This window comes from Homo sapiens, chromosome 5 (assembly GCF_000001405.40).
Source record: "Homo sapiens chromosome 5, GRCh38.p14 Primary Assembly".
NCBI lineage: Eukaryota > Metazoa > Chordata > Mammalia > Primates > Hominidae > Homo > Homo sapiens.
This window is the reverse complement of record NC_000005.10, coordinates 140619254-140635382: the sequence shown is the minus strand read 5'-3', so window position 1 is coordinate 140635382 and position 16129 is coordinate 140619254. Positions and strand designations below refer to the sequence as shown.

The 16129-nt window shown below is 44.7% G+C and overlaps 2 protein-coding genes across 10 annotated transcripts in view, besides 3 other annotated features; one reads left to right on the top strand and one right to left on the bottom strand.

Annotated features, from left to right (window-relative positions):
* Positions 1-16129, bottom strand: part of TMCO6 (transmembrane and coiled-coil domains 6) — a 51203-nt gene that overhangs the window by 12350 nt on the left and 22724 nt on the right. The window lies entirely within an intron of this gene.
* Positions 1682-3651, top strand: CD14 (CD14 molecule). 4 transcript variants are annotated; one of them, NM_001174105.2, is made up of 3 exons: positions 1682-1831; positions 2191-2314; positions 2403-3651. In NM_001174105.2, exons 2-3 carry the CDS (start codon positions 2312-2314, stop codon positions 3525-3527), a joined length of 1128 nt encoding a protein of 375 aa, NP_001167576.1. In that variant the 5' UTR covers positions 1682-1831; positions 2191-2311; the 3' UTR covers positions 3528-3651. The 4 variants fall into 4 exon arrangements, with proteins under 4 accessions (NP_001167576.1, NP_001035110.1, NP_001167575.1 ...); NM_001040021.3 differs by having other exon boundaries at positions 1682-1852; NM_001174104.2 differs by having other exon boundaries at positions 1682-1852; positions 2091-2314.
* Positions 2564-3063: an enhancer, noted in NCBI's record as "H3K27ac-H3K4me1 hESC enhancer chr5:140011905-140012404 (GRCh37/hg19 assembly coordinates)". NCBI's record gives its function as "activates a minimal SCP1, AML or CMV promoter by ChIP-STARR-seq in naive H9 embryonic stem cells {active_cell/tissue: H9 hESC(naive)}" and the evidence as "EXISTENCE:reporter gene assay evidence [ECO:0000049][PMID:30033119]".
* Positions 3064-3565: an enhancer, noted in NCBI's record as "H3K27ac-H3K4me1 hESC enhancer chr5:140011403-140011904 (GRCh37/hg19 assembly coordinates)". NCBI's record gives its function as "activates a minimal SCP1, AML or CMV promoter by ChIP-STARR-seq in primed H9 embryonic stem cells {active_cell/tissue: H9 hESC(primed)}" and the evidence as "EXISTENCE:reporter gene assay evidence [ECO:0000049][PMID:30033119]".
* Positions 3276-3335: an enhancer, noted in NCBI's record as "active region_23280". NCBI's record gives its function as "activates an Ori minimal core promoter by ATAC-STARR-seq in GM12878 lymphoblastoid cells {active_cell/tissue: GM12878}" and the evidence as "EXISTENCE:reporter gene assay evidence [ECO:0000049][PMID:35858748]".

Below are 16129 nucleotides of genomic sequence, written 5' to 3'. Positions count from 1 at the left end.
TCACAAACAGGTAATACTATCATCTCCATTTTACAGAAGGGAGGCCCAAGTCTCATAACCTCAGTCGTAAAGCTGGGATTCCAAGACTGGCTATCTGACTTTGAGTCAGATATAATCATATCTTGGTCCTCAGGGATATCACAGAGGCCTGGCATGGCACCAGGGCATGGCCCAGTGCATTGGGGTATGCCCAACAGGACCCGCAGGGGGCAGTGATGAGCCTTCTTGTTTGGATTGGGGACAAATCTGCAGCTACTTCTTTCTCAATTAAAGAGGAAGTGGGAATTTAAAAAAGACTTTCTGCCGGGCACGGTGGCTCATGCCTGTAATCCCAGCACTTTGGGAGGCCGAGGCAGGTGAATCACCTGAGGTCGGGAGTTCGAGACCAGCCTGACCAACATGGAGAAACCCCATCTCTACTAAAAATACAAAATTAGCCGGGTGTAGTGGCACATGCCTGTAATCCCAGCCGCTCGGGAAGCTGAGGCAGGAGAATTGCTGGAACCTGGGAGGCGGAGATTGCAGTGAGCTGAGATCGCGCCCAGCCTGGGCAACAAGAACAAAACTCCGTCTCAAATAAATAAATAAAAGTAAAAAAGACTTTCAGGCCGGGTGTGGTGGCTCTCGCCTGTAATCCCAGCACTTTGAGAGGCCAAGGCGGGCGGATCACCTGAGGTCAGGAGTGCCTGGTCAACATAGTGAAACTCTGTCTCTACTAAAACTACAAAAATTAGCCGGGCATGGTGGTGGGCTCCTGTAATCCCAGCTACTCAGGAATCTGAGGCAAGAGAATTGCTTGAACTTGGGAGGCGGAGGTTGCAGTGAGCCAAGATCACGCCACTGCACTCCAGCCTGGGCAACAGAGCCAAACTCAGTCTCAAAAAAAAAAAAAAAAAAAAAGACTTTCATATAGTTCTTTCCCCAGAGGTCTAGGGATGTGGACCTGTGAGGGCTGTTGTAAATGCGTAGCTCCTTATTCTCTGGGACATTTGTTGTTTTTTTGTTTTGTTTTGTTTGCTGTTTTTTTCATTTTGTTTTGTTTTCTGTTTTTGTCTGTTTTTTGCGAAACTGGTGAGTTACTAATTAATCCTCATTCAACATAGTCCCATCCCTTCCTTCCTAGGGCACAGAGATTGTACTGAGGGGAGGGCAGGAGAGAGCAACGTGCAAGTGGGAAAACTGATTCAAAATACCTTGCTTCACAATTTCAGGACAGAAAATGGATAGTGTAAGTGACCCAGAGACTTGGCCAATGTGTCTCTGTTAAATACATCCACTTTTAAGAAAGTTAGTACTGCCAGGCACAGTGGCTCACGCCTGTAATCCCAGCACTTTGGGAGGCCGAGGCGGGTGGATCACAAGGTCAGGAGTTCAAGACCAGCCTGGCCAAGATGATGAAAACCTGTCTCTACTAAAAAATACAAAAATTAGCTGGGTGTGGTGGTGGGCACTTGTAATCCCAGCTACTCGGGAGGCTGAGGCAGAGAATTGCTTGAACCCAGGAGGCGGAGGTTGCAGTGAGCCGAGATCATGGCACTCTACTCCAGCCTGAGCAACAGAGCAAGACTCTATCTCAAAAAAAAAAAAAAAAAAGAAAGAAAGTTATTACTTAATCAAAGGAGCAAGGAAAAAAAAAGGAAGGGGGAATTTTTCTTTAGACCAACTTCCTTTTCTTGAACCTAATTCTACCCCCCTTGGTGCCAACAGATGAGGTTCACAATCTCTTCCACAAAACATGCAGTTAAATATCTGAGGATATTCAGGGACTTGGATTTGGTGGCAGGAGATCAACATAAACCAAGACAAGGAAGAAGTCAAAGAAATGAATCAAGTAGATTCTCTGGGATATAAGGTAGGGGGATTGGGGGGTTGGATAGTGCAGAGTATGGTACTGGCCTAAGGCACTGAGGATCATCCTTTTCCCACACCCACCAGAGAAGGCTTAGGCTCCCGAGTCAACAGGGCATTCACCGCCTGGGGCGCCTGAGTCATCAGGACACTGCCAGGAGACACAGAACCCTAGATGCCCTGCAGAATCCTTCCTGTTACGGTCCCCCTCCCTGAAACATCCTTCATTGCAATATTTCCAGGAAAGGAAGGGGGCTGGCTCGGAGGAAGAGAGGTGGGGAGGTGATCAGGGTTCACAGAGGAGGGAACTGAATGACATCCCAGGATTACATAAACTGTCAGAGGCAGCCGAAGAGTTCACAAGTGTGAAGCCTGGAAGCCGGCGGGTGCCGCTGTGTAGGAAAGAAGCTAAAGCACTTCCAGAGCCTGTCCGGAGCTCAGAGGTTCGGAAGACTTATCGACCATGGTGAGTGTAGGGTCTTGGGGTCGAACGCGTGCCACTCGGGAGCCACAGGGGTTGGATGGGGCCTCCTAGACCTCTGCTCTCTCCCCAGGAGCGCGCGTCCTGCTTGTTGCTGCTGCTGCTGCCGCTGGTGCACGTCTCTGCGACCACGCCAGAACCTTGTGAGCTGGACGATGAAGATTTCCGCTGCGTCTGCAACTTCTCCGAACCTCAGCCCGACTGGTCCGAAGCCTTCCAGTGTGTGTCTGCAGTAGAGGTGGAGATCCATGCCGGCGGTCTCAACCTAGAGCCGTTTCTAAAGCGCGTCGATGCGGACGCCGACCCGCGGCAGTATGCTGACACGGTCAAGGCTCTCCGCGTGCGGCGGCTCACAGTGGGAGCCGCACAGGTTCCTGCTCAGCTACTGGTAGGCGCCCTGCGTGTGCTAGCGTACTCCCGCCTCAAGGAACTGACGCTCGAGGACCTAAAGATAACCGGCACCATGCCTCCGCTGCCTCTGGAAGCCACAGGACTTGCACTTTCCAGCTTGCGCCTACGCAACGTGTCGTGGGCGACAGGGCGTTCTTGGCTCGCCGAGCTGCAGCAGTGGCTCAAGCCAGGCCTCAAGGTACTGAGCATTGCCCAAGCACACTCGCCTGCCTTTTCCTGCGAACAGGTTCGCGCCTTCCCGGCCCTTACCAGCCTAGACCTGTCTGACAATCCTGGACTGGGCGAACGCGGACTGATGGCGGCTCTCTGTCCCCACAAGTTCCCGGCCATCCAGAATCTAGCGCTGCGCAACACAGGAATGGAGACGCCCACAGGCGTGTGCGCCGCACTGGCGGCGGCAGGTGTGCAGCCCCACAGCCTAGACCTCAGCCACAACTCGCTGCGCGCCACCGTAAACCCTAGCGCTCCGAGATGCATGTGGTCCAGCGCCCTGAACTCCCTCAATCTGTCGTTCGCTGGGCTGGAACAGGTGCCTAAAGGACTGCCAGCCAAGCTCAGAGTGCTCGATCTCAGCTGCAACAGACTGAACAGGGCGCCGCAGCCTGACGAGCTGCCCGAGGTGGATAACCTGACACTGGACGGGAATCCCTTCCTGGTCCCTGGAACTGCCCTCCCCCACGAGGGCTCAATGAACTCCGGCGTGGTCCCAGCCTGTGCACGTTCGACCCTGTCGGTGGGGGTGTCGGGAACCCTGGTGCTGCTCCAAGGGGCCCGGGGCTTTGCCTAAGATCCAAGACAGAATAATGAATGGACTCAAACTGCCTTGGCTTCAGGGGAGTCCCGTCAGGACGTTGAGGACTTTTCGACCAATTCAACCCTTTGCCCCACCTTTATTAAAATCTTAAACAACGGGTCCGTGTCATTCATTTAACAGACCTTTATTGGATGTCTGCTATGTGCTGGGCACAGTGCTGGATGGGGAATTCATCATACTTAGGCTTTCTTCATCCTAACTCCCTAAGAAACCCTATCTGTCCTCCTCAAGAAAAGAACTGCGGGGATAGAAGGAGCCAGGAAAGGACTCCTGGCTAGGGCTGCATGGGAGAAACAATGAGTGTGCAGTCAGGGCTTTCTGAGCAGATTATTGGCATCTGGATTAAAAGGTATTTGCATGATATTTGGAAGATACAAAATATTTCCTCTCCTATGCACTTCCCAAGAGCCAGCTGCTCCCTTTCAAAGGTAATAAAACCCACAGCCATTTGCTTATTTCCTTATTCTTTCTCTCTCTCACACACACACACACTCACACACCCTCCCTCTCCCTCTCTGTCTGTCTCCCTTACCACTCAAGGAAGAGGGACAGCCTCCTATCCTGCACAAGCTCTGAGTTTCATAATATTAGGGTTCCTCTCTTGTAAAACCTCTCTTCACCCGGAGGCTTTCACTGTGTCACTCCCCGACATAATGGGAAATTTGGGCCTAGGGAACTGACGCAAGATACAGTCGGTCTCTGAATTAGAGATCCTGTGTTCTGTTAGAACACATATGCAGATAACCTTTTCAGGCTGACTGATTGGCAAATAGGAAAGCATCTCAGACTCTTCAAAACTTCAGAATAAACAGGATTTGTCCTCTAGTCCACATTAGCTCAGAGACCTACAGCATCAGCCATCAAGAGGTGCTGTTTCTTCTGAGCCCCTTCTTCATTTCAATGAGGAGGCAGCCACATCCATCAGAGAGCTAGATGCCTGCCTCACAGGGAGCATGGGAGAAAGGTGGGAGGAGGCATATAGGCCCAGCACCTGCCTCTGGCCAATGTCCAGAGCCACACAGATAGGAATAGGGAATGGAAATTAACATTGATAAGAGAGTTACAGACATTACCAGAACCAGACTCAAAATATGTCAGAAAACAGTTAAATTAGCTGGACACTCACTGGAATGTCCCCAAGGGGCCTTCAACCAGCCAGTTGAGAGATTTCTAGTATCAGAGAATTAATCATCTCAAGGCAGTTTTTTTCTTCCCTTGAATAGCTCTGATCACACTTCATCAAATGGTTACAGAACCACATTTCACCTCAGGCCTTGTGCTAAAGCCTGAAATACAAAGATGAATCAGAAACATCCATGCCCTTAGGGAATTCCAATCCAGTGGGGGTCGGGGGAACACATAAAAGATAGTTTTTTATGTGTGAGAAATAGCTGTGAGAATATATATAAATTTCTGTTGGTTAAGCCACCAGTCTATGGTATTTTATTACGGTAGCCTGAGCTGACTAAGGCAGTAGTGGTGATGTAACATATCTGATTGCAAAAAAAAAAATTTTTTTTAAAGAGTAATATATCTGGGCCAGGTGTGGTGGCTCATGCCTATAATCCCAGCACTTTGGGAGGCTGAGGTGGGCGGATCACGAGGTCAAGAGATCGAGTCCACCCTGGCTAACATGATGAAACCCTGTCTCTACTAAAAATACAAAAATTAGCCGGGTGTGGTGGCATGTGTCTGTAATCCCAGCTACTCAGGAGGCTGAGGCAGGAGAATTGCTCACTAGAACCTGGGAGGCAGAGGTTGCAGTGAGCCAAGATCACGCCACTGCACTCCAGCCTGAGCGAAAGAGTGAGACTCCGTCTCAAAAAAAAAAGGGAGCAGATATTGTTGAGGATTGATATGTTATACAGGTTGACTATCCTTTTTTTTTTTTTTTTGAGGCAGAGTTTCACTCTTGTTGCCCAGGCTGGAGTGCAATGGCGCAATCTCAGCTCACTGCAACCTCCACCTCCCAGGTTCAAGCAAATCTCCTGCCTCAGCCTCCCAAGTAGCTGGGATTATAGGCATGCACCACCACACCTGGCTAATTTTGTATTTTTCGTAGAGACAGGGTTTCTCCGTGTTGGTCAGGCTGGTCTTGAACACCCAACCTCAGGTGATCTGCCTGCCTCGGGCTCCCAAAGTGCTGGGATTGCAGGCATGAGCCACCACACCCAGCCAGGTTGACTATCCTTTATCCAAAATGCTCCAGACCAGAAGTTTTGGATTTTTTCAGATTTTGGAATATTTGCGTATATATAATGAGATAGATTTGGATGGGACCCAAGTCTGAATACAAAATTCATTTATGTTTCATATACACTTTAGATAATAGCCTGAAGATAACTTTATACAATATTTTTGTCATGATTCCCTAAACAATATAGTATAACAACTATTTACATAGCATTTACATTGTATTAGGAATTATAAGTAATCTAGAGATGATTTAAAGCATGTGGGAGATGTATGTAGGTTATGTGCAAATACTGCAACATTTTATTTATTTATTATTATTATTTTTTTTAGTTTTTTGGGTTTTGTTTGTTTTGTTTTGTTTTTTGAGACAGAGTCTCTCTCTGTCACCTAGGCTGGAGTGCAGTGGTTTGATCTCAGCTCACTGCAACTTCTGCATCTGGGGTTCAAGTGATGCTCCTGCCTCAGCCTTCTGAGTAGCTGGGATTACAGGCATGCACTACCACACCCTGCTAATTTTTGTATTTTTAGTAGAGACAGGGTTTCACCATGTTGGCCAGGCTAGTTGTGAATTCCTGACCTCAGGTAATCCACCTGCCTCTGCCTCCCAAAGTGCTGGGATTACAGGCATAAGCCACTGCACCCAACCTAAAGTTTTAACTGTTTGGATTGTAACCCATCACATATCCAGGATATGAATCATCCCTTTGTACAGTGTATCTACACTGTAGGCACTACTAGCTCGTTAGTAACTTAGGAGCTGTCTGGGTTGTCAGATCAACAGTTACCATATAGCAGTGCCTGTGTTCAGTAACCCTTATTTTACTTAATAATGGACCCCCAGCACAAGAATAGTGATGCCCACAATTCAGATATGCCAAGAAAAGCCATAAAATGGCTGGGCATGGTGGCTCATGCCTGTAATCTCAGCACTTTGGAAGGCCGAGGTGGGTGGCTCACTGGAGGTCTCCAGACTTCAAGACCAGCCTGGCCAACATGGTGAAACCTGTCTCTACTGCAAATACAAAAATTAGCCAGATGTGGTGGTGTGCTCCTGTAATCCCAGCTATTTGGGAGGCTGAGGCAGGAGAATCACTTGAACCTGGGAGGTAGAGGTTGCAGTGAGCTGAGATCTCACCACTACACTCTAGCCTGGGTGACAGAGTGAGACTCTGTCTCAAAAAAAAAAGAAAAGAAAAGAAAAGCCGTAAAGTGCATCTGTCAGAGGCATTCAAATCAGAGCAACTCCATCTTGAACAGGGGCTGGATAAAATGAGACTGAGACCTGCTGGGCCGCAATTTCAGGAGGTTAGGTATCTTAGTCACAAGTTTACATTTCAGGGAACAGAAACAGACCTAAGAAAGAGGGAAATATAGGACAAGTCAGAATATCCAAGCATGTCATAGATGGTCTGTGTAAGTTGTGATAGGTTTCATAAAATGGGAAAAAATATATATATATAGCTGGGTGTGGTGGCGCATGCCTCTAATCCCAGCTACTCCAGAGGCTGAGGCAGGAGAATCACTTGAATCTGGGAGGCGGAGGTTGTGGTGAGCCGAGGTTGCGCCACTGCACTCCAGCGTGGGCAACAAGAGTGAAACTCTGTCTCAAAAAAAAAAAAAAGATAGTCAACCTGTATACATATCAATCCTCAACAACAATATCTGCTCCCTTTCTCTGTTTTACTTGTCTTCACAGCATATTGCAATCAGATATGTTACTTGTTTTTTTTATTTTTTGAGATGGAGCCTCACTCTGTCACCCAGGCTGGAGTGCAGTGGCAGAATCTTGACTCACTGCAACCTCTGCCTCCCAGGTTCAAGTGATTCTCCTGCCTCAGCCTCCTGAGTAGCTGGGACTACATGCGCCCGCCACCACACCTGGCTAATCTCAAAAAAAAAAAAGAAAAGAAAAATGTAAAAACTGGCAAATGAAAAAGCTTACAATAACTGGATCTTCTTCTGTCTGTCTATTTACATATGTTGTGTGTGTGTAATGTTTATATAAAAGAGCTCTAATTAATTGGCTTAAAGAAAAAGCACTTAAATATTTTGTCAGAAAAATTAAAACTTTAATGCCTTTTAGTTCATATGACTTTAGTAATCCTTGGGAAATAAAGACAGTTTTAAAGATTATTGGTAAAATAAAAATGTCTTCAAAATTTATACATTTGGTCTAAATTAGGCAGGTCAGACACTGAGTTTACTAAACTACATAAACTGCTTCCTTGATATGATCATTGTTCAACTTACCTGCTTTGGAACCATTAGATTCTAGGTAATGCCTAGAGACATGTGGAGTTAGCCATGCCCTCTAGCTATGCTGGAAAGATCAGACCTTATCTGCACTTCTGTCTGGTGTCCTAGGCTCCACACCTGGTACATAATTAAAATTGCTTACTTACCAGGTTTTTCACCAAAAAAAAAAAAAAGTTGCTGAGACGTAACATTGTAACATATGCAATTGAGACTAGTAGAGAAACAGTTTTACATGGAAAGTGCGTAAGGAAAGTGAATGTGTTTTTGGCAAAAGATTATAAGAAGGCACAGGAATGTGGATTTTTTTTTTGCCTAGTTTAGGGGGTTAAAGTATTATTTTAAGTTGGATAGGGAAAAGTAGAAGCTTTGAGCAAGTTGTGGCAGGTTTATGAAATATAAATTCTGTCTGTGGACATACTGGCTAAAGTTAAAGGGGTATTCAATTTTTCCATAAATTGAACATTGGAATAAAAGCACAATAGAGTTTTCTTAGAGCACTGATCTGCTCTTTAACAGTAAAATATAGGCTGGGCACTTTGGCTCATGCCTGTAATCCTAGCACTTTGGGAGGCCAAGGCAGGAGGATTGCCTGAGGTCAGGAGTTCAAGACCAGCCTGGGCAACATGGCAAAACCCCATCTCTACTAAACATACAAAAAATTAGCATGACATGGTGGCATGGTGGCAGAGGTGCAGCAAGCCAAGATCACAGAGTGAGACTCTGTTTCAAAAATAAAAATAAAAAAAGAAATGATAATAGATAGAGACACAAAGATTTGTGGCTGCTTAGAAGTGGGGTGGTCAAGGGGAATGACCTCTAATGGGATACAATGCCTGTAATCCCAGACACTTGGGAGGCTGAGCCAGGAGAATCACTTGAACCCAGGAGGCAGAAGTTACAGTAAGCTGAAAGCATGCCACTGCACTCCAGCCAGGGTGACAAAGTGAGATTCTGTCTTAAAAAATAAAGAAAAAATATATAAAGGGTAATAAAAGGTTTATGAGACTCTTACCTTATGGTCAAACTGATTAAAATTGGATATCTTTTTCTATAAGGTTTTATTAAGAATTGGGTTTGACATTAATAGTACACCATTGCATTCCAGCCTGGGTGATAGAGCAAGACTCCATCTCAAAAAAAAAAGAAGACTGGGCATAGGTTGCTTAGAGCCACTCACAGGTGGACAGTCCAGTAGGCAGTTAGCCATAGGGGCTAGAGCTTAGGGGACAGGTTTGGCCTGGCTATAAGAATTTGGGAGCCATCAGTGTAGAAATGCCTGTGGAAACCGTAGCCATGAATAGCCATGAGTAAGTTCACCCAGGCCAGGAGGGGAGAAAGAAGAGACCGTGCTAAAGAAGGAAACTGGGAATCATCAGTCAACATTTCAGGATGGAGAAAGCAGGGTCTTCAAAGGAGACAGAGAAATAGGAAGAGAACTTAGAACTTGAGACAGAGAACATAGGGAGACATGGTCAGCAACTCCCTATGCCTCCTCTACTGTCATCTCCACCTTGTAAACCAACATCACCCCCAACATATTCTAGCCATTCTTTCCTTTGCCTCTTGTTCTTCCCTCTGCCTGGAATGTTCTGGTCATTAATTTATTCATCCATTTAACAATTATTTATTGAGCTCCCACTACCTGACAAGCACTTTGGAAGTGCTGAGGACAAAGCACTTATAGTGAGCAAAGCGACAAAAGTTCCTGCTCTTAAAGTGTTCATATTGCAGTGGGGAGAAGAAAGTATAAAGTGCTAGATGATGGTAAGTGCTGTGGGGAAAATAGAGCTGAGCCAAAACAGTCAGGATTGCTGGGCATAAGGGTGAAGGATTGCAAGTTTATAGTTGTTAGAATAGACCTCACATGAGGTGACTTCTGAGCAAAGATTTAAGGGAGGTGAGAGAGTGAGCCTTGTAGTTATCTGCTGGAAGAGCAGTCCAGGAAGAGGAAACATCCAGTACAAAGGCCCTGGAAGACATTGGCAATGATATCAGAGAGATAGCAAGTGGCCTCAATTGTTGTTTAAGGCTCACAGGCCACTGTGAAGCTTGGTTTTCACTCAGGTGAAATAGAGAGCCACCTGAGGATACTGACAAAGGGTAACATAAACTGGTTTCCATTTTTAAAGGATCACATTAGCTGCTGTGTTGAAAGTAAACTATAGAGAGTAAGTTAGAAGACTCGTTGGGAATTTATACCAATAACCCAGTCAAGAAATGATGGAGGCCGGGTGCAGTGACTCACGCCTGTAATCCTGGCACTTTGGGAGGCCAAGGCGGATGTATTATGAGGTCAGGAGTTTGAGATCAGCCTGGCCAAGACGGTGAAACCCCGTTTCTACTAAAAATACGAAAATTAGCCAGGCGCGGTGCCAAGCGCCTGTAATCCCAGCTACTCAGGAGGCTGAGGCAGAAGAATCACTTGTACCTGGGAGGCAGAGGTTGCAGTGAGCCAAGATCATGCCACTGTACTCTAGCCTGGGCACAGAGCAGGACTCCATCTCAAAAAAAAAAAAAAAAGAAAGAAAGAAAGAAAGAAATGATGGTGAGGTTGGGTGCAGTGACTCATGCCTGTAATACCAGCATTTTGAGAGGCCAAAGTGGGTGGATCACTTGAGGTCAGGAGTTCGAGACCAGCCTGGCCAATATGGCAAAACCCTGTCTCTACTGAAAATACAAAAAAAAATTAGCCCCAGCTACTCGGGAGGCTGAGGTGCAAGAATCACTTGAACCTGGGAGGCAGAGGTGCAGCGAGCCAAGATCACAGAGTGAGACTCCGTTTCAAAAATAAAAATAAAAAAAGAAATGATGATAGATAGAGACACAAAGATTTGTGGTTGCTTAGAAGTGGGGTGGTCAAGGGGAATGACCTCTAATGGGATACAGAATTTCTTTTTGGGGTGATAAAAATGTTCTAAAATTAAAGCGCGGTTATAGTTACACAACTCTGGTAATATAATAAACACCACTAAATTGAATACTTTATTTATTTATTTATTTATTCATTTATTTTGAGATGGAGTCTCACTCTGTTACCCAGGCTGGAGTGCAAAGGTGTGATCTCGGCTCCTGCAACCTCCGCCTCCCAGGTTCAAGTGATTCTCCTGCTTCAGCCTCCTGAGTAGCTGGGATTACAGGCAGGCACCACCAGGCCTGGCTAATTTTTGTATTTTTAGTAGAGACGGGGTTTCACCATTTTGGTCAGGCTGGTCTCAAACTCCTGACCTCGTGATCTGCCCACCTCAGCCTCCCACAGTGCTGGGATTACAGGCATGAGTCACCACGCCAAGCCTAAATTAAATACTTTAAAAGGGTGAATTTTATTTGTTGTGAATCACAACTCAATATAAAGCTGTTTAAGAAAACCCACACAAAAACATGGTGACAGTTGGATCAGGATAGTAGAAGTGGGGGGAAATGGTCAAATTATGCGCATTTTTTGAAGACAGAGCTCACAGGATTTTTACATATAAAGGGTGGAACATGAGAAAGGGATGGCTGGGCAAGGTGGCTCATGCCTATAATCCCAGCACTTTGGGAGGCCAAGGCAGGAGGATCACTTGAGGTCAGGAGTTTGAGACTAGCCTGGGCAACATACTGAGACCCTCCATCTCTATTTTTTTAAAATGTTTTAAGTATAAAAATTCAACTAAATTTTTAAAAAAGAGAAAAAAGGTGGGCTCAGGGATGACTCTATGGTTTGAGGCCTAAGTTATAAGACTTGATGAAATCACTAAAGATGTGAGCATAGATACATTTCGCCCTGTGGCTTAAACTTAATTATTTGTCTTAAAACATGTTATTTTGTAACTTGAACTGTTGCGGGATTTTTAAGGAATCAGAGAGACCGATGGGGTTCAGGATGATATTTATTAATTATTTAGGTGCACTGGCCCAGTCAGATTAACATCCAAAGGACTGAGCCCTGAACAAAGAGTTAAGTTACCTTTTAAGCATTTTGTGGGGTGGGGGAGATCTGTACAGGGGGAAGCATGCTACAGAAGTGAGAAACAAAGACAGTTATTTAATTAATTGAGACATGCATTACATCATTTCTTACTTTTCAAGGAAAAACATGTTTTGCAACTTGAGTTTATCTGTCTAGTGACTTTGCAGCTGCACAGCTAGGGAAACAGGGTCTTCACAATGCCTGGGAAAGGAGGAGAGATAAGGCTCACTAGCCATAGAAAAATAGGCAGTTAGTTTTTAAAGGACTCCAGCTCTTTCTCTTTCTCAAGGGGAACTGGGTTTTCTTACATACAACTTAGTTTCTGCTTACACACTCCTTAATTTCTTTTAATTCCTGTTCCAGAACATCTGTGTTATACCTTGAGAATTCAAAGCAGAAAGCAAAATCAAAGCCAGACATGGTGGCTCATGCTTGTTATCCCAGCACTTTGAGAGACCAAGCTGGGAGAATCACTTGAACCCAGGGGTTCGAGACCAGCCTGGGCAACACAGCAAGACCCAGTCTCTATTAAAAAATAAAATATAAATACATAAAAAGAAAGTAAAATCATACAGAAAGCCAGAAATTTCTTCAGTCCCTCTAGTCAGATGCTTGCTTGTAGTTTTTGGTGTCCAAAAACGTTTCCCCATGCATTGCTCAGAAGCCTTTTTCTCTTTTTTCTTTCTTTTTTTTTTTTTTTTTTGTAGCTAAAGCCCTGGCAGTAAGGAGAACCCAGCTGGTGTACAAGCTTCTAGCACATTTCTTATTTTCGTTGTTCCCTTCCACCGCTTTCTGTAACATTCTTCACACAGTCTTTCCATGTATCTGGAATAACAGTTCTGAATTTCTTTTCACTGTTCTTGTATAACATCCTTTTGCAGATGGCTCTCTTAGCAGCAGAAGCAACAGCAGCTTGAAAACATCAACACTACAGCCAGTGACAGTCTACTTCCAGCCCCTAACACCTCCACTCCTGTGTATCCTGACCCTGGAAAGCAGCTGGAGGAATAAACTTGAGCAGATAGCAGGGGCTACTTCATTTTCTAGATTTTTTTGTTAATGTCTGAGGACTGAGCCCAGGACACTGCAACATTAAGAAGTCACAAAAATGGGGAGGTATCGGGGAATCTGCCCCGATATTCACGTTGATTCTTTTCTATTTTCCTTAAGCGTCGGCCAGCTTGAGAAACAAAGGGACAGTACAAAACAGAGAAATTTTAAAGCTGGGTGTCCAGGGGAGACATCACATGTCGGTAGGTTCCGTGATGCCCCACAAGCTGCAAAAACCAGCAAGTTTTTATTAGGGATTTTCAAAAGGAGAGGGAGTGTGCGAATAGGTGTGGGTCACAGACATCAAGTACTTTACAAGGTAATAGAAAATCACAAGGCAAGTGGAGGCAGGGTGAGATCACAGGACCACAAGGACCGAGACGAAATTAAAATAGTTAATGAAGTTTCGGGCACCATTGTCATTGATAACATCTTATCAGGAGACAGGGTTTTGAGATCAACCAGTCTGACCAAAATTTATTAGGCGTAAATTTCCTCTTCCTAATAAGCCTGGGAGCGCTATGGGAGACTGGGGTCTATTTCACTCCTACAGCCTCAACCATAAGAGATGGCCACGCCCAGGGGGTCCAGTTCAGAGACCCACCCCCAGGTGTGCATTCTCTTTCTCAGGGATGTTCCTTGCTGAGAAAAGGAATTCAGCAATATTTCTCCCATTTGCTTTTAAAAGAAGAGAAATATGGCTCTGTTCCACCCGGCTCACCGGCGGTCAGAGTTTAAGGTTATCTCTCTTATTCCCTGAACAATTGCTGTTATCCTGTTCTTTTTTCAAGGTGCCCGGATTTCATATTGCTCAAACACACATGCTGTACAATTTGTGCAGTTAATGCAATTATCACATAGTCCTGAGGCAACATACATCCTCCTCAGCTGACAGGATTGAGATTAAAGTAAAGACAGGCATAGGAAATCACAAGGGTATTGACTGGGGAAGTGATAAGCGTCCATGAACTCTTTACAATTTATGTTTAGAGATTGCAGTAAAGACAGGCATAAGAAATTATAAAAGTATTAATTTGGGGAACTAATAAATGTCCACGAAATCTTCACAATCCACGTTCTTCTGTCACGGCTTCAGCCCGTCCCTCCATTTGGGGTCCCTGACTTCCTGCAACAGGGAGGAATCAGCAAAGGATACTAAGAAGGAATGGTCTTTGAAGGAAGTAGAACAGAAGAGAGAAATGTCCTGGAAGCCAAGTGAAGAAATTGATTCCAAGAGAGGCAGTGGGTCCAATAGTGGGTTAAATGCTGATGATAGGTCTTTTGGGCATATATTCAGAGTGAAATTGCTGGATCATATGGTGATTCTATTTTTAGGTTTCTTTTCATTAAAGACTTTTTTTTTTTGAGATGGGTTCTCACTCTGTCCCCCAGGTTGGAGTGTAGTGGCACAATCTCAGCTGACTGTAGACTCGACCTCCTGGGCTCAAGCAGTACTCTCACTTCAGCCTTCCAAGTAGCTGGGACTACAGGTGCATGTCACCACGCCTGGCTAATTAAAGAAATTTTTTTGTAGAGGCAAGGTCTCACTATGTTGCCCAGGCTGGGCTCGAACTCCTGGGCTCAAGTGATCCTCCTGCCTTGGCCTCCCAAAGTGCTGGGATTACAGGCGTGAGCCACCCACCCCAACCTCCCTAGCACACATACACCCATTAAGACTTTTTAAAAAGAGCAGTTTTAGATTCACAGCAAAATTGAGAGAAAAGCACAGAGATTTTCCATATACCCCTGGGTCTGACACATGCATAGCCTCCCTCATTATCGACAACCCCCACCAGAGTAGTACATTTGTTACAATTGACAAACCTACACTGACACATCATTATCATTCAAAGTTCATAGTTTTATGTTAGGATTCACTCTTTGTATGGTATATCCTTTAGGTTTGGACAAATGTATAATGACATGTACCCACCATTATATCATCATACAGACTATTTTCACTGCCCTAAAAGGCTTCGGTGCTCTGTCTATTCATCCCTCCCTCCCCGCAACCCTTAGCAAGCACCAATTTTTAAACTGTCAATATAGTTTTGTCTTCTCCATAATGTCATATAGTTGGAATTACACAGTATGTATTATTTTAAGATTGGCTTCTTTCACTTAGTAATATGGATCTAAGTTTTTTCCATGTCTTTTGATGGCTTGATAGTTCATTTGTTTTTAGCACTGAATAATATTCCATTGTCTGGATATACCACAGTTTATACATTCACCTACTAAAGGACATCTTAGTTGCCCCCAAGTTTTGGCAATTATGAATAAAGCTGCTGTAAACACCCATGAGCAAGTTTTCAACTCCTTTGATAAATACCAAGGAATGTGGTTGCTGGATCTTAAGGTAAGAATACAGTATGATCAGTTTTGTAAGAAACGGCCAAACTGTCTTCCAAAGTGGCTATACCATTTTGCATTTCCACCAGCAATGAATGAGAGTTCCTGTTGCTCCACATTCTCACCAGCATTTGTTGTTGTCAGTACTCTGGATTTGGGCATTCTAAAAGGTGTGTAGTGATATCTCATTGTTCTTTTCATTTGCATTTTCCTGATAACTGTAATAATTAAAGAAAGAGGAAAGAAACATGAAAGACAGCTTGACAGTTAAGACAGGTTTATTTTGGAGAAAACAAACCAAGAGGAGCTTTTGGCCCAGTTAGGTTAGAGGCACACTTTTTTACAGACTAAGAGTTTTTAAGGATTTAGGGTGGGAGAGTTTATTAGAGGCATGGACTGCTTTTTTTTTTCTTTGTTGTGCTTATTTGGGAGGGAGAGTTGTGTGTTTGTTTTTATACATTTTTTTGCAGCTGCAGGCATACCCCCCAAGTCTGCTTTTAGCCTCCCTATCTTATTGCACCTGAAAGGAAAAGAATATGCTTATTAAGGCCCACTGTTTTACTGGGGACCATTGTATGAGGGTAAAGTTTGGCAGTTACCCAAGAGACTTTCCCCCCACCTTCCTCCGTGCCCAAGCTGTTTTATTTGTGTTTTATTGTTTGTTTTTTTCTGGCTGCTTGTAGTTAGAAGAGAAGTGATTACCTTGAAATGCATGAGGCTAGAAAGGGAGCTGGAACTTAAAGTAGCTGTGTTTGTCCAAGATGATGGTGCT